Source organism: Homo sapiens, chromosome 21 (assembly GCF_000001405.40).
Source record: "Homo sapiens chromosome 21, GRCh38.p14 Primary Assembly".
Taxonomy (NCBI): domain Eukaryota; kingdom Metazoa; phylum Chordata; class Mammalia; order Primates; family Hominidae; genus Homo; species Homo sapiens.
In genome coordinates, this window is record NC_000021.9 from 42,192,784 (window position 1) to 42,220,773 (window position 27,990).

General features: G+C 47.7%; 1 protein-coding gene and 1 long non-coding RNA gene across 12 annotated transcripts in view, besides 4 other annotated features; one reads left to right on the plus strand and one right to left on the minus strand.

Annotated features, from left to right (window-relative positions):
- Positions 219-719: an enhancer, noted in NCBI's record as "H3K4me1 hESC enhancer chr21:43613112-43613612 (GRCh37/hg19 assembly coordinates)". NCBI's record gives its function as "activates a minimal SCP1, AML or CMV promoter by ChIP-STARR-seq in naive H9 embryonic stem cells {active_cell/tissue: H9 hESC(naive)}" and the evidence as "EXISTENCE:reporter gene assay evidence [ECO:0000049][PMID:30033119]".
- The window catches only part of ABCG1 (ATP binding cassette subfamily G member 1), a 97,556-nt gene continuing 76,471 nt past the window's right edge, over positions 6,906-27,990 (plus strand). For 4 of the 11 annotated variants that reach the window (XM_047441054.1, NM_004915.4, XM_047441055.1 and 1 more), the window contains exon 1: positions 26,357-26,521. In XM_047441054.1, coding sequence (XP_047297010.1) covers positions 26,480-26,521 — 42 coding nt within the window. In that variant the 5' untranslated portion in view covers positions 26,357-26,479. Of the gene's footprint in view, positions 7,067-8,793; positions 8,941-14,162; positions 14,204-23,293; positions 23,406-26,356; positions 26,522-27,114; positions 27,264-27,990 lie in introns of those variants that run through there. The other 7 variants (XM_011529807.4, XM_011529806.2, XM_047441053.1 and 4 more) reach the window with 4 other exon arrangements.
- Positions 15,867-16,367: an enhancer, noted in NCBI's record as "H3K4me1 hESC enhancer chr21:43628760-43629260 (GRCh37/hg19 assembly coordinates)". NCBI's record gives its function as "activates a minimal SCP1, AML or CMV promoter by ChIP-STARR-seq in primed H9 embryonic stem cells {active_cell/tissue: H9 hESC(primed)}" and the evidence as "EXISTENCE:reporter gene assay evidence [ECO:0000049][PMID:30033119]".
- On the minus strand, positions 16,600-27,487 carry LOC105372814 (uncharacterized). Its single transcript, XR_937748.4, has 3 exons — positions 27,367-27,487; positions 18,002-18,091; positions 16,600-17,783 (listed from the first exon to the last, which is right to left on the minus strand). It is a non-coding gene; the product is annotated as an uncharacterized LOC105372814 (long non-coding RNA).
- Positions 26,066-26,335: a silencer, noted in NCBI's record as "silent region_13338". NCBI's record gives its function as "represses an Ori minimal core promoter by ATAC-STARR-seq in GM12878 lymphoblastoid cells {active_cell/tissue: GM12878}" and the evidence as "EXISTENCE:reporter gene assay evidence [ECO:0000049][PMID:35858748]".
- Positions 27,266-27,797: an enhancer, noted in NCBI's record as "H3K4me1 hESC enhancer chr21:43640159-43640690 (GRCh37/hg19 assembly coordinates)". NCBI's record gives its function as "activates a minimal SCP1, AML or CMV promoter by ChIP-STARR-seq in primed H9 embryonic stem cells {active_cell/tissue: H9 hESC(primed)}" and the evidence as "EXISTENCE:reporter gene assay evidence [ECO:0000049][PMID:30033119]".

A 27,990-nucleotide genomic window follows, 5' to 3' on the forward strand; every position in this document is an offset into this window, starting at 1 on the left:
CTCCAGGAGGACTAGAAAAAGCAACTCAGTGGTTTAAAAAAGACTGCTTTGGAGAATGACATCTTTAATGCTAAAAACGCTAATTGTCATTAACTTCATTATCTTCGTTATTCTTTATTCATCAAGTTCTTTACATGGAAAGGACCATGTTTCCTCCAGGACTCGTAGCTGACACCACCCCACCCCCCATTAGACAGCTTCCTCCACTGCTGCCAGAATGGCTTTAAATGGCAGAACACAGTTCCACAGCACACAGCACAGCTTGAATACAAACGCCCCTGAGAGGAGCGAGGGCCAAACAGCTGGTCTCAGATGCCAAGAGCAGGTTCTGAAAGGTAAGGAGAGGATGACTGAGCTCAAGGACACCAAAGATGCAGAGGGGTGGTGACCAGAGGAGGTCCCCGCAGGAGGCTCCAGGGGGGCCCTCAGAGACACAGCTCCTGCCCTTCCCAGCATGGCCCAGGGTGCTCCAGCAGGGTGAAGCCCCCGCGGGTAAGCCACTCCCTTGCCTGTCATCATCCCAGCCAGCCACCACGCCACAGTCTCCACGCCACAGTCTCCACACCACAGTCTCCTTGCTGTTTTGTGGTTCTCAGACCTGTTGAGCTTTCAGCAGAGCAAGAAAATAGTCTGCGGCGTATTTTTCAGAGTGAATCATTTCTTATCCTGTGGTTCATCAGGAAAAAACAAAGCAAAACCCTCATCCTCATGTCCTCGTGGCCTGAGCTCATACACAAATCCTGCCTGCAATGACCTCAGACTGCACCAGCAGGTGAGGCCGGCAGTGAGGGCAGCCTGATGGGCTTAGACCAGCAGACCAGGTTAGGAAAGCAGATGGCCCCTTGCAGCAGGGGTGCAAAGCCCCTGAGGTATGTGTGCAAGGGGACTGGCAAAGCGTTGTGAAAGAGACGGAGGACACTGACCATCAGCGTTGCCACCTCCAGTGGCTCAGGACTGACCCGAGGCATGGCTCTCAACTCTGGTCACCCACTGGAGTCCCCTCTTCCTGGATCCCACACCCCAAGCTCCTGCCTTATGGGTCAGGGGTGACAGTCACTCCCCAGGTGATTCTACAGGGCAGCCTGGCTTCAGAACTGTGATGGCATCACACTCAGTCACTGTGCAAGAGGCAGGGAGGCCTGGCCAGTCTGGGTGGGGCTGGAGGGTTAGGTGTTCATGACAGATGGGGAGGGAGTTGGCACGCTCTGCCAGGGCTGACGTTACGATGATACCATTTTCAAGAAGGAATACAGAAGTGATGTGGGCACTTAGACCCAAGGAGCTGGTTCAAAATGTGCAGCCTCGGCCGGGGGCAGTGGCTCATGCCTGTAATCCCAGCACTTTGGGAGGCTGAGGCAGGTGGATCATGAGGTCAGGAGATCGAGACCATCCTGGTTAACATGGTGAAATCCTGTCTGTACTAAAAATACAAAAAATTAGCTGGGCGTGGTGGCAGGCATCTGTAGTCCCAGCTACTGGGGAGGCTGAGGCAGAAGAATTGCTTGAACCCAGGAGACGGAGGTTGCAGTGAGCTGAGATCACACCACTGCACTCCAGCCTGGGCGACAGAGCGGCCCTCCATCTCAAAAAATAAATAAATAAATAAAAAACAAAATGTGCAGTTTCAGACCTATTGAGTCAGAATGTGGCCAGTGTGTTGGGCAAACTCTGGATGATTCTTGCACACATTCAGTTTCAGGTGTTCTCTGTCTGGGAGGCAGACTTGAATCGCCTGGGAAGATGCCCAGTCTCACCCCATCAGAATCTCTGAGGGATCCCAGGCTGTGGGCCTTGCCATAGGCAGGAGGTGGGGCATGGAGTTAGATCATCGGGAAAGGGCTGCGGGGAGGGATTCCGGGAGCTGGAGACCCCCTGGGCCAGGTCCCTGCAGGGGAACAGGAGGTGGATTTGAGAAGAAGGACACTGCATACCTGGGGCTGGAGAGGCACGTGCCATCATCCCAATGCCTGAGGCAATGGAGCAAAGGGAAGGAAGGGACATCCCTCCGCTCCCCACGTCTGTGATGCTGTGGCTGGGCTCACAGGTGCTGGGAATGCCCCATCATCACACTCAGCTGCCACACAGGAAAGGACAGTGGCTTGAATAGAGAACAGAGACCCTCAGTGTTTGGCCCTCCACCTCTCAGGAGTGAATCAAGCACACCTAAAACGAGTTAATGTGGCTGGAGGCACTGATCACCCCCAGGCAGCCCCACACTCAGGCCTTTCCCACCCGAGGCACTCGTTAGAGGCGCTGGCAGCCTCAGCTGCCCCGGCTGGAGAAGCCACAGGAGCCAGCCAAGGGCAGGCGCTGCAGGAGCATGGGCGGATGACACCGATGATGGGCTTCATGGAGATGCCTGCAGACAATGCCAGCAGCTAAGGGAGCCGCACTGATCTCAGGCTGCAGGAAAGGTGCTGTCTCAGAAGTGGGTTCTGCTCTCCTCTGAGGGGCTCAGGCCCCTCAGGAGAGCTGGGGGTGGGGGAGTCACAACTTCTTATGGGGGGAGCTGAGAAATCCAAGTGCACCCAGAGGTAGGTGGCCAGAGAGCAGTGGCTGAAGGGCGTGTCCTGCTGGATGTGGATGGGCTGATTCAAGAAAATGATGAAAACAATTTTTATGTGTAGACCTGATTTGCCCAAGACAGGTTCCCAAGTCGTTTGTGGAAAAGGAAAGGCACCCCCTGACTGTCAGTCACAGGCCGGTGACCTCACCACTGTTTGGGTGATTGCATTGCTGTTATTATAGACGGGTTGCAACATTCAGCTCCTGGCCTGGTTCCTGGAAATGGCATGCTGGGGACCCTAAGAAATGATGCACACGTGGGAAGACAAAGCTGACCCCAGCAGCAGGCTGTGGGTGAGAGGCAGCGCAGCTGTGGGAGGCCAGCCTCACCTCCTCCCCTCTGGAAACAGCTGTGTGTTCAGGGGCCATGCTCCAGAGAAGGAAGTGAGCAGCCAAAGACTGGGAAGTAATGCTTGTAAATATGCTAAAAACAGAAGAAAAGATGGACATGAGGGGTGCAAAGAGAGAGCATCCCAGTGGAGAACTGGAATCTGCAAAAGTCACCAATTAACATTCCAGAAGCACAAATAACTATTTGACATGAGGGTATTGCAGATGGCTTTAAGAGCAGGCTGCATCTAGCCGAACATAAGATTAATATGCTTCAAGATGGATCAATAGAAAACATCCAAAGCAAATCATGGAGAGAAAAAAATGGTAGAAACAGAACATTATGTTGATATAGTCAATGCCAACACAGGTGTGACTGGAGTCCTGGAGAAAGGGGGAGAGTGGGGAGGGAGAGGGAGGGAGAGAGACAGGGAGATGCAAGATTTGAAGAAATAATAGATAAATATTTTCTAAATCTTATGAAAGACAGCAACCCACAGAGTCAAGAAATTAGATCCAAGCCAGATGAATAAGTTCTTAAAGGATTATACTCAGGCACAACATAGTCAAACTATCTCTAAACAAATCTATCAACTGTTATCATTAATAAATAATCTTAGAAAATTCACTAAAATGTGAAAATTAAACAGTATTCTCTTAAATAAACGATAGTTCAAAGAAGAAATCACAAAGGAAATTGGAAAATACTTTAAAATGAATGAAAATAAATAGAAACACCACATACCAAAAGGTCCAGGATGCAGCAAAAGCAGCACTGAGAGGCAAATCTATGGCTGCCAATGCCTGTATTTAAAAAAAAATCTCAGATAAATAACCTAAACTTCCTCCTGAGAACCTAGAAAAAGGAGAGCAAGCTAAACCCAAAGCAAGCAGAAAGAAGGAAATAAAGATTAGTACAGAAACAAGTGATCTTAGCAAGGTTGCGGGCTATAAAGTCAATATACAAAGGTCAATACTATTTTTTATAGACTAACACCAAACATTTAGACAGCAAGACTAAAATATATCATTTACAATGAGATAAAAAATATTAAATACTTAAGAATAAATACAACTCAAGATGAACAAGAACTCAACCCTGAAAACTTTAAAAATCTGCAGAGAGCTGGGCCTGGTGGCTCACGCCTGTAATCCCAGCACTTTGGGAGGCCAAAGCAGGCAGATCACTTGAGCTCAGGAGTTTGAGACCAGCCTGGGCAACATGGCAAAACCTGGTCTCTACTGAAAGTACAAAAAATTAGCCGGGTGTGGTGCACGTCTGTAGTCCCAGCTACTTGGGAGGCTGAGGTGGGAGGATCACCTGGGCCCAGGAGGTTGAGGCTGCAGTGAGCCGTGATTGCTGTACTCCAGCCTGGGTGACAGGAGTGTGACCCTGTCCCAACAAAACAAAACAAAACACTGCAGAGATAAATTTTAAAAGACAAATAAATGGAGAGCTATTCTACATTTATGGATCAGGACATTTAATGTGTTAAGATATCATTTCTCCTCAAATTAATCTATGAATGTGGCGTAGTCAAAACCCCAGTATGCTTGTTTTCTTCTTTCTCTCCTGCTCCCTTTTTTGAAGACAATTGACAAGGTGATTCTAAAATTTATACAGAAATAACATCCAGAACAGCCAACACAACCTTGAAGAAAATTGGAGAACTTACACTATCATATTTCAAAACTTAGTTAAAAACTACCGTAATTAAGATGGCGTGGTGTTGGTACAAGTACAGATAAACAGAGCAGTGGAGAAGAACAGATGGTTCAGAGATTTACCTTCCTCCCATATACGGCCATTGGTTACATCAAAGAGCCAGTGCAATGAAGACAGGAGGGCGTTTTCAATCCCTAGTGCTGGAGACACTAAGAAAGCATTTGGAAAAAATGCACCTTTCAGCCTACATAGAAATTAATTCAAGATGCATCATAAACTTAAATCTGAAAATGAAAACAGTGCTGCTTCTAGAAGAAAGCAAATAAATGTATTTTCATATTCTTCATTTCTTCAGAGATTTCTTAAAGAAAACACACACATACTAACTATAAAAGTGATTAGATTTCATTAAAACTAAGAACTTCTGTCATCAAAAAACAAAGACGAAAACTGACATCATTACAAAATTAAATGGTCAGCCGGGCGCAGGGGCTCACGCCTATAATCCCAACACTTTGGCAGGCCGAGGCAGGTGGATCACCTGAGGTCAGGAGTTCAAGACCAGCCTGGCCAATATGGCAAAACCCCATCTCTACTAAAAATACAAAAATTAGCTGGGCATGGTGGAGGGCACCTGTAATTCCAGCTACTTGGGAGGCTGAGGCAGTAGAATTGCTTGAACCTGGGAGGCAGAGGTTGCAGTGAGCTGAGATCATGCCACTGCACTCCAGCCTGGGTGACGGAGTGAGACTCCGTATCAAAAAAACAAAAACAAAAAGCAAAACAAAACCTAAATGGCAAACTACAGACTGAGAAAACATATTCAAAATCCATCTATGTGACAGAGGGCACCTATTTAGAAATATTAAGCAATTCTACAAACCAATACTAAAATCAAAACAATACAACTTAAAAAAAATGAAGTGGCACATCATTAATCAGTACAGAACAGCAAATTAAAGCCTTGATGATATGATCATCACATTCCAATCAGAGTGGCTACATTTTACAGAAACTGACAGTGCAAAGTGAGGGCAAGCACGTGGAGCCACTGGAACTCTCACATTGCAGGCAAGAGTATAAGTCGGTAAAAATTTGGAAAACTGGTTGATAGCATCCACTAGCATTAAGCACATTCTTGTCCCATAACCTGGCAATTTCTCTGGTAGATTTCACTCAACAAAAATGAATGTTTGTATCCACCAAGAGACAGATACAAGAATGCTAGTGGCAACTTTATTTATAATAGCCCCAAACTGAGAACAACCCAAATGTCCACCAATAGGAGAATGAAAAGATACTCTCTCACATAAAAGAGTAAACTATGGACTCAAGCACTAACGTGCATGAATCACAAAAACATATGAATGAAAGAAGCCAGACACAAAGTAGTAATACTGTATTCCAATTATATAAAGATCAAGAATAAACAAAGCTAATCTATGGTAATTGAAGCCAGAATAATGTTTACCTGTAGAGACAGTAATTGGTTAGGAAATGGAAGAGGAACATTTTTACACAATGCAAATGGTCTATATCAGGATCTGGATGGTGAATGTACAGGTGCATAGACATGTAATATTCATCAGACTTTACAGAAAGATTTGTGCACTTTACTTAAAAAGCAGTCCTTACAGGAAGGAAAAAAAGGGCAGCTTCTGGAGCCACACCCACCTGTTTTGACTCTGGAATTGGGTACTTTCTTGCTGTGACCTTGAGCAAGTAAAATAATCTGTGCCTTACTTCCCCACTGTGAATAATAACAGTGTCTGGCTCATGGAGCTGTGATGGGGATTAAGTGAGTTAATGGATAGACTTCTCAGCACAGAGCACCTAATACAGCCTTCATTCCATTCGTCCTTGTTACCAGGTTTCTGCTAAGCTCCCTTCCAGGGCTGAGATCTCAGAGGCTTCACCAGCTCACTTTCCCCCACTTTGCTGCAATAATCATTGGCTAGAGGTATTGTGATATGATGTCATTAAAGTTAATCTAGACGAAAATTTGATTTACCTAAAACTATTACACTGTAGACCTGGAGGAATTTCAGTTTTTGCCGTAATTGTTTTCAATGTGTGTTATAAAAAATAAATTCCACTATGTTCACGAATGTACAACTTATAATCTGACCAAAAGTGAGAGATGGGTAGATTTTCCTACTTGGGTCCTTCTGTGGACAGGTACTAGGTGCTGCTTTACGCCCAGTGACTTGTGAGGGAACAGAACTGCCCTTTAGTAACCCTGCTCACTTCCTGTTTTCTGCAGTAACAATTACATTAGGCAATATTATTACACATGGAATTGCATCATGCTGATTTTAAAACAATCCTCCCTGTAGCATTACACAGACACTGAATCATCATTTGTAGTTTGGGGGGCTTTACATGCCTGCAGTGGTGAAAACTGAAATTTTGTCCCACTTAAGGGAGTTTCTTCTTCCCTTTATTAATTGCAAAATAAATATATGTCACTTCAGAGGGCAGCAGCTGGACTACCTATGTTTGTGGGTAAGTCACTGACAAAATGCTTTCTAGTAAGAAAATATCTTTAAATATAAATGTATGGAATAAGTGTAATTAACTAGATGTAGATTAAGAAAAATGTAAGCCACATCTCCTAGTTCAGGCAGCAATCATTTGTGACTTAAACTGTGATGTAAAGTATCTGTGACCTATACCAGTCAGACACCAAATATTGGTGAGCTGCCTGGATTTGGGAGATGCAGTGAGAATGAGTCAGAGCCCACGACATGAGGGAGAGAAAGGGGGACCCTGAGGACTTGGGGTCCGGTGTGAGGATCCTGCACTCGGTTTCTGTGATGGTGTGTGCAGGGGAGTCACAAGTTCAGGTGGGCCTGTGGCAGGGCTGCCCATGGCCCCTGGTGAGCATGTGCGGCCAGCCGGGCCATGGGGGTGAGGCCGGCTTGGTGGCTTGGATTGCCTACTCCTCTGCAGGGTCCCAACGGGTTTCTAGATCCCTCCAGAGAAGCCTTTGGGTACATCCCATGGCTTCCCAGCCTCCCCCTCTCAGCCTGTGAAGAAGAATTCTGATCAAGTGTTGGGCATGAATACAGTCTTCCTGGAAGTGTGGGGCTTTGATTTGCAACCTTTTTACGTGCAGTCTTCATATATCAGGGGTCCCCAAACTTTTTGGCACCAAGGACTGGTTTCACAGAAGACAATTTTTCCATGGTTTGGGGGTGGGGTGGAGGGATGCTTTCGGGATGATTCAAATGCAATACTTTTATGTTGCACTTTTTTTTTTTTTTTAGACGGAGTCTCCCTCTGTTGCACTGGAGTGCAGTGGCATGATCTCGGCTCACTGCACCCTCTGCTTCCTGGGTTCAAGTGATTCTCCTGCCTCAGCCTCCTGAGTAGCTGGGACAACAGGCATGCACCATGACGCCCAGCTATCTTTTGTATTTTTAGTAGAGATGGGGCTTCACCATGTTGGCCAGGCTGGTCTCGAACTCCTGACTTCAAGTGATCCACCTGCCTCGACCTCCCAAAGTGCTAGGATTACAGGCATGAACCACCACGCCTGGCCTACTGTGTTTTTTGTATTTTGTTTTATTCTTATTTTATTGTTTTTCATTTTTCTTACGTCCCGAGGTACATGTGCAGGATGTGCAGGTTTGTTACATAGGTAAACGTGTGCCATGGTGGTTTGCTGCACCTATCAACCAACCACCTAGGTGTTAAGCCCAGCATATTGTGCTTTTTTTTTTCACCTCACTTGCCACTATAAAGCCTGCCACCAGATGTAGCTTAACTGTCACTTGCCACTCACTGATAGGGTTTTGATACGTGTCTGCAAGCAGTTGATTTATTATGGTCTCTGTGCAGTCAAACCTCTCTGCCAATGTTAATCTGTATTTGCAGCCACTCCCCAGCACGAGCACCAGCACCTCAGCTCCACCTTAGATCATCAGGCATTAGTTAGATTTAGATTCTCATTAGAAGCGTGCAACCTAGATCCCTTGAGTGCTCAGCTCACAATAGGGTTTTCACTCCTATGAGAGTCTAATGCCGCCACTGATCTGACAGGAGGGAGAGCTCAAGCCATAAAGCTCCCTCGCTTGCCGCTCACCTCCTGCTGTGTGGCCCCATTCCTAACGGGCCACGGACTGGTCTGCAGCCCAGGGGTTGGGGACTTGTCTTACATGACAGGGTGAGCTACCCTGAGTTAATCTGAGTGAGCTTCATTCTGTCGACCTTCTTCCACTCCACCACAGCGCTACACCAACCTGAACTTCGCTTCCTGAGACCTAAGATTCAGCCCCGTGCTCAGCAGACATCAGGGATCACCGACTCTGTGCCAGGAGCTGTTCTTGATGCTGGGAACGCAGGGGTGGACAAAACAGAGAAAGCCCTGCCCTCAGGTGTGGTCAGAAGAGACAGGGAAGGATTTGGAAGCTAAAGCTCAGATCCAGACTGGGCTTGTTTCAACTCGTTCCGTGGGCCTGATGTAGTCTAGAGATGATTCTTGGTGTGGGCTGTGGGAGCTCCTGCGGTGTAGTTTGGTGAGGGGCCAGCCCGAGGCAAACTGGGGACCTGTGTCTCCAACCTTCAGCACTTCTGCCCTTCAGGGTCATCCCTCCAGGTGCCCCACCCTGGGGACTTGAACTCTGCCCTTGTCCCCCAAACCACCTTACCCTAATGCTGTGGTTCTCCTGGTCCATGCAGGGCGCAGTGTCCTGCTGAGTGTGCAGGTGCCTGTCCCTGCCCTCTGCAATGTCATCTCCATGCAGCAGCAGCGTTTACCCACGGATGGATCCCCACCCCTGGACCATGCCTGGGTACAGGTTTTGTTCCGGTTGGTCTGCTATTGAGTATGGAGGCCAGGGTTCCACTCCAGACCCCTCTGACTCCCCTCACCAGGCTGTTCCCAGAGACTTGTGAGGGAAGTTGACAATAAATATGTAAATTCAGATGGGTTTCATGTTAGTGAAAACCTGAATATTGAAATATTACAAACCTAGGGTTGAAGATCTCAGGCTGGTGGGAGTGCCTTTGTGCATGTATCCACCCACTTTTCCTTGCAGAACTTTCTACACAACAATTCAGCACAGGAAGCATGGAGGAGTAAAGCCATCTGGGGAGAGATGAGCAGTGAAAACCGGGGGCCGGCAGGTTAGAGGAGGGGTGTGATCTCAGGGTGCAACGCTGTTGAATGCACGCCTCCCTCCCCCCATCCCTCTCTCGGCAGCTCCCAGGCAACTTAGTCACCCCCATCTTAATCTTACTCAACAGTCACAACAGTCTCTCTCCCTTTTTTTTTTTCGTTTGAGACAAGGTCTCGCTCTGTCACCCAGGCTGAAGTACAGGGGCGCGATCACAGCTCACTGCAACCTCTGCCTCCCAGGCTCAAGCGATCCTCCCACCTCAGCCACCTGAGTCGTTGAGACTACAGGTGCCCACCACCACGCCTGGCTAATTTTTAAAATTTTTTATAGAGATGAGGTCGCACCCTGTTGCTCAGGCTGGTCTTGAACTCCTGGGCTCAAGCGATCCTCTGGCCTCAGCCTCCCAAAGTGCTGGGATTACAGGTGTGAGCCACAATGCCCAGACTTCAACAGTCACAGCTATCTCTTGGTGTAGACTGTTTGCTATTGGCAAAAGGACAGACACAAAGACCAATGGAACAGAATAGAAAACCCAGAATCACACCCACTCAAAGATACAAAGCAAATCAGTGCAGGAAGGACAGCTTTTCCAGCAAGCGCTGCTGATGCATTTGGGTATCCACGGGCAGAAAAAAAGAAGAACCTGGACTTAAATTTTCTTATACAAAAGTTAACTCAAAATGCATCATAGATGTAGAACATTGGAGAATTTTGAAAGTTCTTCAGGCATTATGAATCCTAATCCTTTGTTGGAGATGAGATTTGCAGATATTTTCTCCTGGTCTGTTATTAACACTTTTCGTCTTCTTAACAGGGTCTTTCTCAGAGTCAACATTTTTCATTTTGATGTAGTCCCGTTTATCAATTTTTCATTTTATGGGTCATGCTTTTGGAACTCTTTGGCTCCGTATCCTAAAGATTTCCTCCTAATATTTTTTCCCTGAAAGGTTATTTCACATCTATGATGCATTTTGAGTTAACTTTTATATAAGAAAATTTAAGTCCAGTTTCTTTTTTTCTGCCCGTGGATACCCAAATGTGTCAGCAGCACTTGCTGGAAAAGCCATCCTTCCTCCAGTGATTTGCTTTGTATCTTTGAGTGGGTGTGATTCTGGGTTTTCCATTCTGTTCCATTGGTCTTTGCGTCTGTCCTTTTGCCAATAGCAAACAGTCTGGATTATTGTAGCTATAAAATAAGTCTTGATACCAGGTAAGCTGATTTCTCCTCCTTTATTCTTTGTTTTCAAAATCGTTTCAACTATTCTAACTCCTTGGCCTTTCTTTAAATTTTAGACTACTCTTGTTTATATATACAGAAAATTTTGCTGGGATTTTAATAGCAATTGCATTAAACATGCATATTTTGTTGATCATTGATATTTTTACTACGTTAAGTCTTCCAATCTATAAACAGTATTTCTCTCCTTTTTTCTTTAGTTCTTTTTTTACTTCTTTTATCAGGATTTTGTAGGTTTTAGCATACAAGTCCTGTACCTGTTTTGTTACATTTACTACTAAGTATTGAATTTTGTTTGAGCAGTTGTGAATGGTGTCACGTTTTTAATTCCAGTGTCCATGTGTTCATTGACAGAGCATAGAAATAAAATTTATGTATGTTTATCTTGTATCCTGCAACCTTGCTTGAACTCACTTATTGTTTCAGGAGTGCTTTTGTGGATAGATTGGGATTTCCTAGGTAGACAATCATGTCATTTGAAAATAGAAACAGTTTTGCTTTTTTTTCCCTTTCCAATCTGTCTGCCATTTATTTCCTTTTCTTGCTTTACCACACTGGCTGGAAATTCCAGCATCATGTTGAATAAGAGTGGTGAAAGCAAACATCCTTGCATTATTTTTGATATTAAGGAGGAAGCATTGAGTTGTTCACTATTAATTATATTATTAACTGTAGATTTCTTGATGCTGTTTATCAAGTGGAACTTCTCTATTCCGATTTTTCTGAGTGTTTTAACCATGAATGGGTAAAGAATTTTGTCAAGTGCTTTTTCTGCATCAATTGGCATGATCATGTGATTTTTTTCCTCTTTTATCTATTAATATAGTATATTACATTGATTGACTTTCAACTATTGAACCAGCCTTACGTCTCTGGAATAAACCCAACTTGAATGTGGTATATAATTTTTAAAATATATTCCTGACTCTGTCTGCTAGTATTTTGTTTGGGTTTTCTGTATTTATATTCATGAGGGCCATTGGTCTGCAGTGTAGTAGTCTTGCTGTGTTGCCCAGGCTGGAGTGCAGTGGCTATTCACAGGCATGACAATTGTGTACTAAGGCCTCGAACTCCTGGGCTCAAGAAACCCTCTTGCCTCAGCCAATGATCAACTATAGTATTTTTTAAAAATATTATATTTGTCTGATTTTGATACCTGGGTATGCTAACTAAATAAAATGAATTGAGAAGTATTTCTTCCTCTTCTGTTTTCTGGAGGAGATTGCCTAGAATTAGTGTTAATTTTTTAAAATGTTTGATAGAATTCTCCAGTGATATCATCTGGGCCTGGAGAATTAGGTGTTGTTTTTGTTGTTTTTTTTTTTTTGAGTTTTCAAAACTAAATTCAATGTTCTTAATAGTTATGAGACTATTCAAATAGTCTGTTTATATTCAGTGAGTTGTAGTTTGCATCTTGCGAGGAAGTGGTTCATTTCATCTGAGTTGTCAAATGCATGATTGCAGAGTTGTTTGTAGTGTTCCCACATTGTCCTTTGGATGCTTGTGGGATCTGTAGTGATGTCGCTTGCTCCATCCCTAATATCAGTAATTTGTATCTTCTCTGTTTTTCCTTTGCTCATCTTGCTAGAGGTTTGTCAATTTTATTGATTGTGGCCAGACATGGTGGCTCATGCCTGCAATCCCAGCACTTTGGGAGGCTGAGAAGGGCAGATCACCTGAGGTCAGGAATTCAAGACCAGCCTGGCTAACATGGTAAAAACCTGTCTCTACTAAAAATACAAAAATTAGCTGGGTGTGGTGGTGGGCACCTGTAATCCCAGCTACTTGGAGGCTGAAGCAGGAGAATTGCTTGAACCTGGGAGGCGGAGGTTATGGTGAGCCAAGATCATGACACTGCGCTCCAGCCTGGGTGACAGAGCAAGACTCCATCTCAAAAAAAAAAAAAGAAAGAAAGAAAAACAATTTATTGATTATTTCTAAGAACCAGCTTTGTGTTTCATTGATTTTCTCTACTGGCTTTCTCTTTTCAATTACATTGATTTCTGTGATTATTTGCTTTCTTTTCTGATTTTTCTCTCCTTTTTCTACATTCTTGAGGTAAGAGTTTCAATTATCATTTTGAGAGTTTTCCTCATTTCCAATGTATATGAATTCAGTGCTATAAATTTCCCTTTCCCGACTGTTTTAGTTGTGTCCCACAAATTTTGATATTTTTATTTTCATTTTTCATGTATTTTTATTTTCATTTTCATTCAGGTAAATGTATTTTTATTGCCCTTCAGACTCCCTCTTTGCCTCATAAATTATTTTAAAGTATGTTGTTTGGATTCTAACTGTTCAGAAGTTTTTCTTATATCTTCCTGTTATTGATTTCTAATTTGATTTCACTTTGACCAGAAAACACAGTCTGGTGCCAGCCATGGTGACTCATGCATGTAATCCCAGCACTTTGGGAGGCTGAGGTGGGAGGATCACTTGAGGCCAGGAGTTAGAGACCAGCATGGTGAAACCCCATCTCTACTAAAAGTACAAGAATTAGCCAGACATGGTGGCACACACCTGTAATCCCAGCTACTCAGGAGGCTGAGACATGAGAATCACTTGAGCCCGGGAGGTGGAGGTTGCAGTGAGCTGAGATCATGCCCCTGCATTCCAGCCTGGGTGACAGAGGGAGACTCTGTCTCAAAAATAAATAAATAAATAAATAAATAAATAAATAAACAAACAAACAAACAAACACAATCTGTACAATTTCAATTCTTTTGAGTTTGTTGAGGTTTGCTCTGTGGCCCAGAATATGGTCTAACTTGGTATCTGTTTTATGGATACTTGAATGTGCATTCTTCTGTTGTTGGGTGGAGTGTTATATAAATATTGATTAGATCCTATTGATGAATGGTGTTATTGAGTTCTTCTATATCCTGGTACTACAGGCATGGTGCCACCACATCTGGATAATTTTAAAATTTTTTGTAGACATGGGACCTCACTATGTTGCCCAGGCTGATCTCAAACTCCTGTGCTGAAGCAATCCTCCTGCCTCAGCCTCTCAAAGTGCTGTCCTTCTTGATGTTCAAAGTTTCATTCTTTTACCATTTTATTTATGTTTAAATAACTTCATTTCATCATTATTTTAGGTTATGTCTATGAGTGACACATTTTCTTAGTTTTTCTTTATCTGAGAATATCTTGATTTCTGGGTGGCCAGTTTTTTTTTTTTTTCTTTCAGGAAATAAAAAATGTTGTGCTAATTCTTTCTGTCTTCTTCTATTGTTTTCAGTGAGAAATATGCTGTCATGTAAATTGCTTTTTCCCCTATAGGTAAGGTATTGTTTCTCTCTCATTCCCTTTAAGATTTCTTCTTTGTCTTCCGTTTTCAGAAATTTGACTGTAATATGTCTTGGTATAGTTTTATTTGGGTTTATTCTGTGTGGAGTTTGCTAAGGTTCTTGAATCTGTAGGTTTATATCTTTTGGTAAGTTTGAGAGGTTTTCAGCTGTTATTTCTTTGATTACTTTTTAACCCCTCAGCCCCACTTCTGGGCTTCTGTTAGATCTGTATATACAGTCCTACAGGCCCCTCAAGTTGTGTTCATTTTTTGTTCAGCTTGTTTTTCTCTGTTGTTCAGATTTGATGATTTCTATTGTTCCATTTCCCAGTTTATTAATTTTTTCCTCTGTACTTTCCATTCTGCTATTAAGCCCATCTGCTGAGTTTTTAATATTGGTAATCCATTCTAAACTTTCTATTTTGTTCTTTTTATCTTCTATTTGTTTGCTAAGACTTTCTACTTTCTATTTTATTTTTTCAAGTCTGCTCATAATTGCTCACTGAAGCATTTTTATGATGGCTGCTTGTTAACATTTGTTGGATAATTCTAACACTGCTGTCCTCTTTGCATTGGCATGCATTGATTGGCATCCATCCATTAATTGGCTTCTCTGACATCACTGTGGGAGGGGACGGGGGCACGGCACTGCCACCTTACTACCAGGCAAGGGTAGAAGTCCAGGTTCCCTGCTCAGCCTTTGTTGACACCCAAAAGAGGGGCTCCTCATTACCACTGGATGGGGGTTGAAGTTCTGGCTTTCCATTTGGCCTCTACTGATACCTCCCTAGCTGGGGGAGGTAGAAGACCTTAACTACTGTTCCCCACATGGTCTTCATGACATCACAGGGTGATGAGTATCCTTGTTACCCTGGGTGGTGGTGAAAGTCCTGACTCTACTGGGTCTCCTGTCACCACCCCAGCAAGGTGGACGAGGAGCTTCTCATTAGTGCCCAGTGGGAGCAGAAGTCCAGACTTCCTAATTGGCCTTCTCTGACACATATATTATGGCTAGAAGAGTAAGAGTTGGTTTATGTGCCTAATTACAGCCTGAGGAGGGTGGAAATCTGAACTCCCCACTCTTTCTTTGCTGGCATGGGCAGACATTTGACCACAGTTTATTCTGGAATGTTTGGTTGAAGCAGAGAAGTTATTGTCTAAAAATTTTCTGTCCTCTAGGTTCCCCTTTTCCTATTCTTTTGGCTAGAGAGAGCAGGCTTTTGTTGGGACTTTTTTTTTTTTTTTTGGTCTGTGCTCATTTGCATTTCCAGGTTTTCAGCTTCTTCAACTCAAACTCTGGGACATATGATGCAAAACAAAAATCTAGGGACCTCACCACAGTGTGGCTCTTTGGGTCCCAAGAACCCTGGATGGTTTGCCTTCCTTTTCCTATCTTCTAGAGTCTCCTTATGTTGGTTTTGTGTAATATCCAAGGTTTTGAATTGTGCTTAGAGGGAGAAGTAGGGAAAAATATGTCTATTCCATCTTCCCACAAGCCTGTCCTATGACCTTGAACAGATTGAACTTGTGCTCCTTGTAGAAATCTGCCCATTTGGAATAGGTTTGCCGTCTTCACCCAATAAATACCTGATAGCAGTGAACGTGTGGAAAAGATACTTAGCCAGGTGCTAGGAGACCTGGATCCTTTTTCGGGGCTTTATGGCCCTAAGGAGGTTACAAACCTCAGGGAGCCTCCATTTTCTTTTTTTCATGTAGCAGGATAATTTACTGAGATAATTTATGATGTTAATTTTCCCTGCTCTAGCAATTTTCCCCTCCCTTTAAAAAGTAGTCATGTCTTTTTTTCTTTTTTAAAATGAGTTGTTTTTCTCCTAAAGCCTTTAGGGAGTTGCAGGACCTGAGGCAGAAGTTTCCAGGCATGCAGAAGATAATCTCTCTAATCAAACTTTTGCTTTTGAAAGCTTAGGCTCCACAAGGTGACTGCCCCAGGCCCTCCTGGAGAGGAGGAATGCAGAGCTGGGGTTCTGGGGGAGGGAGGCAGGAGGGTCAGGAGAAATGTCTCGGAGCCTGGAAAGGGGAGCTGTGGAGTCTGCAGGCACCAGGAGAGCTCAGAGGTCTCAGGGAGGCAAGAGGACTTCTGCTCAGGTGATCAGGGGGCTGAGTCCACAGAACACTTGAACTGTGGCCTTTGGAGCCATGGAGAGTTGATCTGGACCTGACCTGGGCTTGGCATGGAGGAGCTGCCTCTGAGGGACCAGGCACAGATCATCTGACTGATAGAAATAGCAAAATGTGGGCTGCCTGGTGCCTGGTGTGAAAGTGTAAAACCCATGAGGGTCCAGCGATGGCACCTGCCCTCCTACCCCACAGGGCGTTCTGAGGCAAAATGCAATCATGCACATTACAACATTTTCTAAAGCACTCGAGGTTGTCCAAACATAACTCATGGTTTTTATTAAGCACCTACTCCAGCTAGGCTCCGTGCTGGGAATGATGTTAGAGCAAAGCAATATTAGTGAGATGCTGGAATTTATCATCTCTTTGGAGAGATAATGCATATACTGGGTGAAGAAAAAGCTAAGGGTTAGAGGGTCAATCTAGAAACTACTTGTAAGGATTTTCTCATAGAGTGGCTTTGGGCCTCTGACTTTTAACTTCCTTGTCAAACTGATGATCGTAATCAAGACTTCTTAGCTGCAAGTGACTGAAATCTAATTCATACTAGTTCAAGGTCAGAAGGGAGAGTAGAGGATCCCGTAACAAAGAATAATAATAGTGAGCACCAGCATTTATAAGATGCACACTATGTGCCGGCCATGGCTTTCAAATGCTGACACCTCTCATCCTTGAAACAGTCTTCTGAGGTGAACAGGATGGATCATCAGCCCGCTTAATAGCTGAGGTCACAGGGGCACAGAGAAGAACGAGTTTGTTTAAAGAGCCGCCATCTGGCTCTGGGGCCCAGCACTTATCAAAAGTTAAAAATGGTTGCCCAGCCACTTGGGAAGGGCCAATGATGGACAATGGGTGTGAACTCGGGAGGGCAGGATGTAGGGGCTCCAGCGATGAAAGGGCTGATGAAAGGGCTTTGTCACTTCCTTCGTCTCCGGCTCTACTTCCCTGGGGGTGTTTACTTAATTCCTAGCCAGACAAACACTCTCCTTACATCAATGCCAAAAGGGAACAGGGAAAGAAACCCTCTCCCTCTTAGGGTCCAGGAAGTCCCTGCGAGAACTCTGATGGCCCTGCTGGGTTGTGTATCTTTTCCAGAACATCAGTAGTGGCCAGAGGGATGGAATGTTCTGGGAGGCTCCAGGTGGGGGTTGAGTTCTATGGTTGACCACACGGAGTCAGGGGTGGGAGGTTCCTTGGAGGAAACGTGGGGTACACAGTGGTTCCAGTTACTTCCTAGCAGGTATTTGTTATGGGTGTGATGGGAAGCTTTTAATTATTTGTGGGAAGGAGGCCTCCAGTAATTTTCCGGTATCTGTCTCTGAGACTTCTGTCTTAATCTTCAACTTTGAAGGTCATCTTGGGGCCAGATGTTATTTACTCTTTCTTCATTTGAAGAAATGGTTTCCTAGATCTTTCCCAGCCACTCTTGATTCCATGCTAATGGAAGAAAACAAAAGGAATTTGTCTGTAATACTTAACTTGTCTTGTCTTAACTTAATCTATGAAATATCTACTTGCAGTTTTTCCCCTGAAACCATCTCTCATCATCTGTCTTGCCACCATAGCTTCCAGGCATCTGCCGCCCCCCTCCCTCCACCCTGCACCTCCCTGCCTCCTTGATTTCCCTCATCTCATGGCCCCTCCTTTGCACTGACCTCCCACAGGCTGTGTGTGCTTGGTGAAGAAGGGGTCCTCTCTATAGCTGGGCTGGCTCACCAGAGGAAGCGAAGGAGCGTATCTGGATGCTGGAGACAGAATACCATTGAAGTCAAGAGTGCCAGCAAAATAGGAAACAAACAGTGGAGATTAAGCATTCTCATTTCTTTCTTCTTTTTTTTTTTTTTTTTTGAGACCAAGTCTCCCTCTGTTGCCCAGGCTGGAGTGCAGTGGCGTGATCTCAGCTCACTGCAACCTCCTCCTCCCAGGTTCATGCCATTCTCCTGCCTCAGCCTCTGGAGTAGCTGGGACTACAGGCATGTGCTACCACATCTAGCTAATTTTTGTATTTTTAGTAGAGACAGGGTTTCACCGCGTTGGCCAGGATGGTCTCAATCTCTTGACCTCCTGATCCGCCCGCCTCGGGCTCCCAAAGTGCTGGCATTACAGGTGTGAGCCACTGCACCTGGCCTCAGCATTCCCATTTCTTTCAAATGAACCAACACACAGAGTTGCTATTTGGTGTATCCAACCAGCCTTATGCTGCTGCCCTCCCTGATGACATGGTCTCTGTGTCTGACCCACTTTCCCAGGCTTCTGCTTGAAGGGCTAAGGCATGGTTTTCCTCTGCTCCTGTTCTTCTTCCTTTCTCCACTCACCTTTCCCTTCCTCCTTCCTTCCTCTCTCTGTCTCTACCTCTCTTCTTTCCTTCCTTACTTTCTCCCTGCTATGATCCAAATGTTGGTATCCTCCCCAAATTCATATGTTAGAACCTAATACCCATAGTGACAGCATTAAGAGATGCGATCCTGGGCCTGGCCTGGTGGCTCATGCCTGTAATCCCAGCACTTTGGGAGGCCGAGGCAGGTGGATCACCTGAGGTCAGGAATTCAAGACCAGCCTGGCCAACATGGCGAAATCCTGTCTCTACTAAAAATACAAAAAAAAAAAAAATTAGCTGGGCACGGTGGCATGCGCTGGTAATTCCAGCTACCTAGGAGGCTGAGGCAGGAGAATCGCTGGAATCTGGGGGGCAGAGGCTGCAGTGGGCCGAGATTGTGCCACTGCACTCCAGCCTGGGTGACAGAGCAAGACTCTGTCTTAAAAACAAAAATCAAAAAACAAAACAAAACAAAACAATAACAAAAAAAGAGATGCGGTCCTTGGGAAGTGATTAGGCCATGAGGAATGGGATTGACGAACTTATTAAATGGTTTGAAACAGGTTGAAAGGAGCCCCTTTCCTTTCTACCACGGGAGGGCACAGAAGGCACACCTATGAGGAACAGGCCTCCAGACACTGCATTTTCTGGCGTCTTGAATTTGGACTTCCCAGCCTCTAGAAGTGTGAACAATACATTTCTGTTGTTTTTAAGTTACGCAGTCTAAGGTATTTTGTTATAGGAGTCCAAATGGACTGAGACAGAAATTGGTACCAAGAAGCAGAGTGTTGCAGAGACAAAGACCTGCAGATGTGGAAGAGGCTCTGGAACTGGATAATGGGCAGAGGCTGGAAGAGTTTAGAGGAACAGGCTCAAAAGGCCTGGACTGCCAAGAGTGGACATAAAGGGTGATCCTAGTGAGGGCTGAGAAGAAGACACAGAGCCTCCGAGATTATGTAAGTGGCTGTGATCAGAATGCTGATAGAAGTATGGATGGTAAAGGCCACTCTGTTGAGGTGTCAGACAGAAATGAGGAACGTGTTACTGGAAACGGGAGGAAAGGCCATTCTTGTGACAGAGGGCAGAGGACTTGGCTGAACTGTTTGTGTCCTCATGTTCTGTGAAAGTCAGAGTGGCAAGGGATGAACTTGAATATTTGGTGGAAGAAACACTCTAAACCATGTCTTGAGGACACTGCTTACCTTCTCTCCACTGCTTATGGTAAAATGTGAGAAGGGAAGAAATCAATTAAAAACAGATTTTTTTTTTTTTTTTTTTGAGACGGACTCTTGCTGTGTTGCCAGTGGCACAATCTCGGCTCACTGCAAGCTCCGCTTCCCGGGTTCACACCATTCTCCTGCCTCAGCCTCCCGAGTAGCTGGGGCTACAGGTGCCCGCTACCATGCCCGGCTAATTTTTTGTATTTTTAGTAGAGATGGGGTTTCACCATGTTAGCCAGGATGGTCTCGATCTCCTGACCTCGTGATCCGCCCGCCTTGGCCTCCCAAAGTGCTGGGATTACAGGCATGAGCCACCGCACCTGGCCTAAAGACAGAATTTATAGTCAAAAAGGAGGCAGAACTTGCAGAATATTCTCAGCCTGACCATACTGTAAAGAATAAAAAAGCATGTTTAGAAGATCAAGGGTGTAGCCAAACTAGCGTTTCAGGCAGAGATTAGCATGGACAGGCAGAAGCCAGGTGCTGTGCATGAAGACAGTGACGGCATAACCCTGAAGGTGTTTCAGAGGTTATTATTGCTGCCCTCCCATCACAGGCCCAGGGTGCCGAGGTCTGGGGGACAGAACTATGCCCACAGAGGTGCCTGGAGTGCCTGCAGGACCTCGGCACCTGCTGCAGTGTGTCTCCCTCAGAGGGCACAATCAATAAACCTTGGGCTTCTGTGCAGGGCCATCTCCATGGGTGTGTAGAGGGTAGGAGCTATGGAGGCATGGCTAACTCCATCTGGATTTCAGAGGATGCTTTGGAGAGCCTTGGGGTCCAGGCAGAGAACTGCCACAGGGGCAGAGCCACTGCAGAGAGCCCCCACCAGGACAATGCCCAGTGGAGGTGTGGGGGCAGGGCCACCTGAAGACCTCAGACTAGCAGAGCCACTGACGTGCACCTCCAGCCTGAGAGAGCCACAGGCAGGAGACTCCAGCCCATGAGAGCTGCAGTATGGGCTGTGCCCAGCAAACCCATGTAGGAGGTGCCACCCAGAGCCCTGGGGGCCTAAGTCCCTCCTTAGAGTGTTCAGAAGGTGGGACCATGGAGTCAAAGAAGATATAATGCTTTTTGCCCTGTTGGGTTTTGGACTTACTTGAGACCTGTTATCGCTTTCTTCTTTTCTGTTTTTCTCTTTTTGGATGGAAGTGTCTGCCCTGTGCCTGCCCCATCCTTGCATTTTGGAAGCACATAACTTGTGTGACTTCACAAGTTCACCGCTGAAGGAATTTGCCCCAAGAGGACATTTACCTTGAGTCCCACTCACATCTGATTTAAATTATGTGTAGCTGGGACTCTGGGCTTTAGACTTTTTATTTGGTGCCGGGAACAATTTAAGACTTTGGGCCCTATTGAGATGGAATGAACATATTTGGCATGTGAGAAGACTGAATTCTGGAGGGCCAGGGGTGGAATGCTATGGTCTGAATGTTGGGGTTCCCCCTAAATTTATTTGTTGGGACTTAATGCTCAGTGTGATTAATACTCTGATAGTACTAAGAGGTGTGGCCTCTGGAAGGTGATTAGTTCATGAAGACTTTGCCTCATGAATAGGGTGGAGCTCTCATAAGACAGGTTGAAGGGCCCATCTCTTCCTCTTCCATCATGTGAGGACACAGAGGCGCCATCTATGAGGAACAGGCCCTCACCTGACACCAGAGATGCTGGAGTTTGACCTTGGACTTCCCAGCTTCCAGTGCTATGAACAATACCTTTCTGTAGTTTACAGATTTCCCAGTCTACGATATTTGTTACAGCAGCCAGAATAGACTAAGACACACGTACACTCCCTCCCTTGGTCAGAGAAGCCAACAGGGCCGGGGCCAGGCTGACCAGAAGGGAGATCTCCAGGCCCAGCCCAAGGCAAGCTCGCCACAGGGATGCGTCTCGAGCATGAGCACCTGCTGTGTTGTCCCGGCCTGGGATGACGAGGGCACGGTGTTCATCCCTGTCTCTCCCTCCCTCACATCACTCACCACTGTCAGACAGGAGAGCCACAAGCCCTCTTTCCTACTTACACTTGGGGCAGCATCTTCTGTTCTTAACTGGCTGGGAACTTTTATCTTCAGAGTCAGAGATCTGGGTTGTGAAAAGCAGGCAAGCAGACAAACATCTCTCTGCAGCCTTCTCCCCATTCTCCTACCCAGTTTCCAGAATTTGGGGGAAAAAAATCCCATAAGCTGTCATACTTCATATTGCCATCAGGCAGCAGTGGGAATGGTGCAGAGAGGAGCTGGGCAAAGGGGCAGAGGGACAGCTTTCTTTGTTTTTTTGTTTTCCTCCATGAAATGGGGAGGTGTCAAGTGAGCGAGATGTCCCCGGCCACACAGTGAAGCACAAGGCAGCCGAAGACACAGCAGGCAGGTCAGGTCTGTGTGCACATTGGCAGGCTGCATGCAGACCAGCCTCGGCCCAGGTGGAGAAGCAGAGGGATCTGCAGGGGAACCAGGGATTCAGAGACCTGTTGTTGGGGTCCTGCAGAAGATGGGGCAATTCAAGTCACCAAGCCAGTCTCACCCCAATGGCCTGGCTGGTTGCAGAAACTCACCAGGGACAAGGGGTCACCCCACCACAGGCCCACCTGGACATGTGACTCCCCTGCACCCACCCTCACAAGCACCAAGGGCAGGATCCTCACGCCAGAGGCCAAGTCCTCAGTGTGCCCCTTTCTCCCCTTCATGTTCAGCCTCAGCAGCTGGAAGTCCACAGAAATAAATCAGACACTTCTAAAATGGGACACCATAGGGAAGGCCAGATGGAATAAGAGTTCTCTTCCCACAGACCTAGACTTCCATTGACTCCACTCGAAGTCAACTGGGTGATGCTGTTGGCTGCAAGTCAAGGCCAACATGGGCTGTGCTAATAGATGCAGACCCTCTAGAGGGAAGGAGCACATCACCCTGGCCTGTTCTGTCCTGATCACACTGAATAGGTGTTCTTTGGTGGCCCTGAATTTCATGAGGGACACGAGGAACTGGCACCCATCCCGAGAAGGGGAAAGTGGGACAAAAGGGCGTCTTCTAGGAAGCCACACTGGAGAGACTGGGGGCATCTGGTCCAGAGAACAAGGGTCTGGAAAGAATGTTGTTGCCATCATTGGCTGGCCAGGGCCTACTCTGGGGAGTGACTCCATGTTGCTATGGTGTGCAGAGCAGTCAGGGTGATAGGGAGTCCAATTGGACACAGGTTCAGTTTGCTAATGGTGACAACACTTAATAATGGAGTGGGTTGCCAGTTGAGGTAGTGATATAGTTTGGCTGTGTCCCCACCCAAATCTCATCTTGAATTGTAGCTCCCATAATTCCCACATGTTGTAGGAAGGACCTGGTCAGAGATCACTGAATCATAGGGGCAGGTCTTTCCCATGCTATTCTCATGATAGTGAATAAGTCTCATGAGATCTGATGGCTTTATAAAGGGGAGTTTCCCTGCACAAGCTCTCTCTCTTGTCTGCCGCCATGTGAGACATGCCTTTCACCTTCCGCCATGATCATGAGGCTTCCCCAGCCACATGGAACTGTGAGTCCGTTAAATCTCTTTCCTTTGTAAATTGCCCAGTCTCAGGTATGTCTTTATCGGCAGCGTGAAAATGGACTAATACAGACAGGAAGTGGCTCCCCACTGGAAATTACCAGCTGTCAGCAATGCCTTAGCAGAAATTTCTGTTGGGGTTGGGACTAAGCTGGTCCTGTCGAGAGCTCCCCTTGCCTGGTTGATCCTCAGGGTTCTACTTAGAATGCCTCGAAAAGTCTTGGCTGGACACCCATGCCCAGTCTTTCTGCAGGGTCCCATTGGGGTTAACCTTCTCATTTCATCCCATGTGAACCAGGCCAGGCCCATCAGGGTTTGGCAACCCCCTGATGCAGTGGTTGCTGCCAGGTGACAGGAGCAAGCCTGCAGCTGCTGGGGGGCCATGCAGAGACAGCCTGCCAGAGGGGAGACCACCTGGGGAGGCCAGAGCCGTGGAGACAGCAAGAGACCAGGGGCTGAGGACAGAGTAGTACAGGTCTTTGGTCCCAGTAGTCCTGAAACCACTGCACTCCGAACCTTTCTGTACTTAGCTTAAGCCAGTTGGAGTTTCTGTCCTTTACAACCAAGAGCCTTGATAGGAATGGGGTCCTGTGCTACGCTACTGTTGGCTTCTTTCCCGATCGGGCGCTGGAGGGGAACACAGCAGTGACTACAGTGGGATGCTTACTCGGTGCTGGGCATGCTAGAAAGTGCTTGCCATGCCTTATTTCCCACGTGGTGGGGATTTTGACCCCACTGTACAGACAGATAAGTGAGGACCCTTTCACTTATCCTGCAACAGAAAATCCAGCAGCCAAAGCCAACAAGGGCCCAGCATAGCATCTTCCCTCTCTGACTTCATCCTCACGCTCCACACACCATCCCCCTGGCCATTCCCAGCAGCCCAGTAAGCACTGCCTCACACTTCCAGTTCCGGACCAGCCAGGATGGCCAGGCTGGATGGGGGCCATCCACCGGCTGAAGCCAATTGCCTATTCTCGAGCTGAAGGTGAATCAATCCCGCATAAATCTTCGGGCAGAGAACTGGGTGGGGGTAGAAGAGGGGGAATGTCTAGAAGGAAATTCTGGGCACATTCCTGGAAGTGAGGAGGATGGATATTGGACAGAAATTATGTCATTGCAGGCACCCTCACTTGCCCTGGCCACATGGACAGTTCCTCCCCGGCTGTGTTCCGTGCCTCCTCTCGTGCTCCAGGGCCTGTCTGTTCCTGGAGCGAGATGGGTCCCAGGGCTGGGCACCAGTCCCCATCTCCAGCCATCAGGCACTTTCCTCTCTGTGTTTTGGCGTAAACACTCCCTAGGTTTGTGGATCTGAATCCTCTTCCCAACACACTCAAGCTTTGCTGGCCTCCCTGCAGTGTATGTTTAAGGCACCACACAGCCTCCAAGGCCTGGCACCCGGGCAGTGGCACCTGGTAAACACAGCAGTCAGATTTCCTCATTTCAGCCAAGTGTAAAATCAAGGTAATGGATCTACTCTTTTTTTTTTTTTTTTTTTTTTTTTTTTTTGAGACGGAGTCTCACTCTGTCACCCCGGCTGGAGTGCAGTGGCTCAATCTCGGCTCACTGCAAGCTCCGCCTCCCAGGTTCATGCCATTCTCCTGCCTCAGCCTACATAGTAGCTGGGACTACAGGTGCCCGCCACCACACCTAGCTAATTTTTTGTATTTTTAGTAGAGACGGGGTTTCATCATGTTAGCCAGGATGGTCTCGATCTCCTGACCTCCCAAAGTGGTGGGATTACAGGTGTGAGCCACTGCGCCCGGCTGGATGACTCTTGAGACAACACCATTCAGACAAAGGCAAGGCCTCCCACTTAAACTCATAACCGTGTCTCCTTTCTCTCCTTCGATTTGAGCGGCTGAATTTGGTTACAGTCATCTGACCTGTGGGTGTGAAGTCCACCTGCCTGGCATAAAAAGCTGTGCCTCCTTTCTAGGTGAGGAGAAAGAGAGAGACCTGGCTCATCTGAGGTGTGGTTGGGAGGGGGGACCCAGGTGTGCTGGAAATGAAAAGAAATGCATTCCTGTTTTTCGTCCCAACATGCAAACAACTGAACAAAAGCATTAGGGCCTGAGACTGGGAGTAAAGAATTCCTTGTCACCATGGATACCAGGAAATGGCCCCACTTATATATAATAAGGGCTTTAGAGATGCTGGACCATCTGATATTCCAGCCTGGGGCCACATGGGAGTGTGCCCTGGTGTTATTCCTTATACAGTTCCATGAACATGGCTCTGGAAACACCTCTGTCTGCAGAAAATGAGGCTTTTCTTTTTTTGTTCGGGGGTGAACAGAGGGCAGAGGCCTGGGCATCTTCACTCAGCACCCCTTTGTAACCCAGCACTTAGCACCATGGCTGGCGCACAGCAATGTCACATGTGTGAGTGCACACGATGCCTCACTGCCAGGGGTCACCCCACACCGGTGCTGTTGGGGGCGTTGGAGTGGTTATCTCTTCTTTAGTCCTCAAGCTCCTACCTGGCAGAGAGCTGCCCAACACCGTCGGGGTGGGGTGGGCGGGAAGGGAAGAAGCAGCAGCAAGAAAGAAGCCCCCTGGCCCTCACTCTCCCTCCCTGGACGCCCCCTCTTCGACCCCATCACACAGCCGCTTGAGGCTTGGAGGCAGTGGATTTCCGAGCCTGGGAACCCCGGCGTCTGTCCGGTGTCCCCGCAGCCTCACCCGTGCTGGCCCAGCCCCCGCGAGTTCGGGACCCGGGGTTTCCGGGGTGGCAGGGGGTTCCCATGCCGCCTGCGAGGCCTCGGCTCGGGCCGCTCCCGGAACCTGCACTTCAGGGGTCCTGGTCCGCCGCCCCCAGCAGGAGCAAAACAAGAGCACGCGCACCTGCCGGCCCGCCCGCCCCCTTGGTGCCGGCCAATCGCGCGCTCGGGGCGGGGTCGGGCGCGCTGGAACCAGAGCCGGAGCCGGATCCCAGCCGGAGCCCAAGCGCAGCCCGCACCCCGCGCAGCGGCTGAGCCGGGAGCCAGCGCAGCCTCGGCCCCGCAGCTCAAGCCTCGTCCCCGCCGCCGCCGCCGCCGCCGCCGCCGCCGCCCCCGGGGCATGGCCTGTCTGATGGCCGCTTTCTCGGTCGGCACCGCCATGGTGAGTGAGCGCATCCTTCGTCCGCCGGGAACGGTTTTATTTTCAAGGAGAGCAGGAAACACACAAAGACTCGCAAGCTCGACCTGACACCCCTCCCAGGAGCGCGTCCTCTGGGCGCTGACCCAGGGCACCCTAGAGTGGCGCCCGGCTCCGATCGCTGCCCCTGCCCCTCCGCCAGGGCCACCTGGAGCCTCGGGATGCCCCTTGCACCGGCAGAGAGCACGGACTAGGTGGAGGGGCCGGGAGTGGGGCGGGGGCAGCGAGTTGCCCTACAAGTTGGACCGATGGCCTTGACCTGATGGCTTCTGGGCGGGGGGCGTGGGGAGCTGGGGACCCGGAGCGCACTGGGGACTGGGGAGGGGCCGCAGCTTGGGCCGGAGGGAAGAGGGGACTTGAAGAAGGGGAGCCCCGCGCGCGCGGCTGTGGGCTTGGGGACCGGGGACTTCTCGCGCCATCCCCAGGAACGCCAGGCAAGGTCTGGGGGAACAAAAGAGGAAGCTGCCCCCAGAGAGCCGGAGCCTGCGACTGCACTCCCGGGGACACCCTCTCCCGGACCCACTCGGGGAGGCGGCGGCGAAGGCCCGGGGAGACCCGCGAGGGGCAAGCCCGGATTCCTGCCGGCCGCCTTTCTGCGCGCGCCGGAGAGAGAGACGCGGTGGGGACAGGGATGCGCATTTCACTTCCCCGAGCTCCGGAGAGGGATGGCGGGGTGTCGGCGAGTTCACTGCTGGACACAGTTACTGTAAGTGCTGTTTCCAGGGGTGGTCAGGAATCTCCCTTTCTGGTTTTCTGGCATTAGGAACAAACAACAAACCAATCATCAGGCCCCCAGCCACCCACCTCACCTTATCCTAGCGCCCTTCATGTCTACGCCCAGCACACCAACATCGTAGAGGTAGCTAAAGTACAAATGGAAAGTCTTCCGTATTCCACGCCGTGTATCTGTGTAGTTACTACCCTGATATTACTTCCCCGAGGCTGTAAGCCCACAGTGCATGGCACGCTCCGGGGCTCACCCCGCCCCTCCCCTGTATTTCATTTTTAGCATCCTGTATTTGAAGTCAGCAGGGCTCAGCAGGATTTGACCGACAGTTACCTCTTGCCTTGAGCTCAAGAGAAAAAAAAAAAATAGCCAGGTTTCTGCGCATGCTCCGCTGTGACAACTGCATCCTATGATTCCAAACAGGTTACTGTAGAACATACGGAGCCTCGCCAGCTCATTATATAATGATTTTGTGTAAACGATAGAATGGGGCCGCAGACATGGCCAGGCGGTGGGTGGAGGAGGGGAGAGCCCGAGCGGGAGACCCGCAGGCTGACTCGCCTCTCTGGGCTGCCCTGCCTTCCCTGCGTGGCTTCTACGTAGAAGAGGCAGTGAACAAAACGGAAAAGCCGTTTCCCTCCCGGTGACACTTGCTTTTCTCTGGTTGAATCTTTGGGCAACACTTGGGAATTCTGCCTTTTGCACT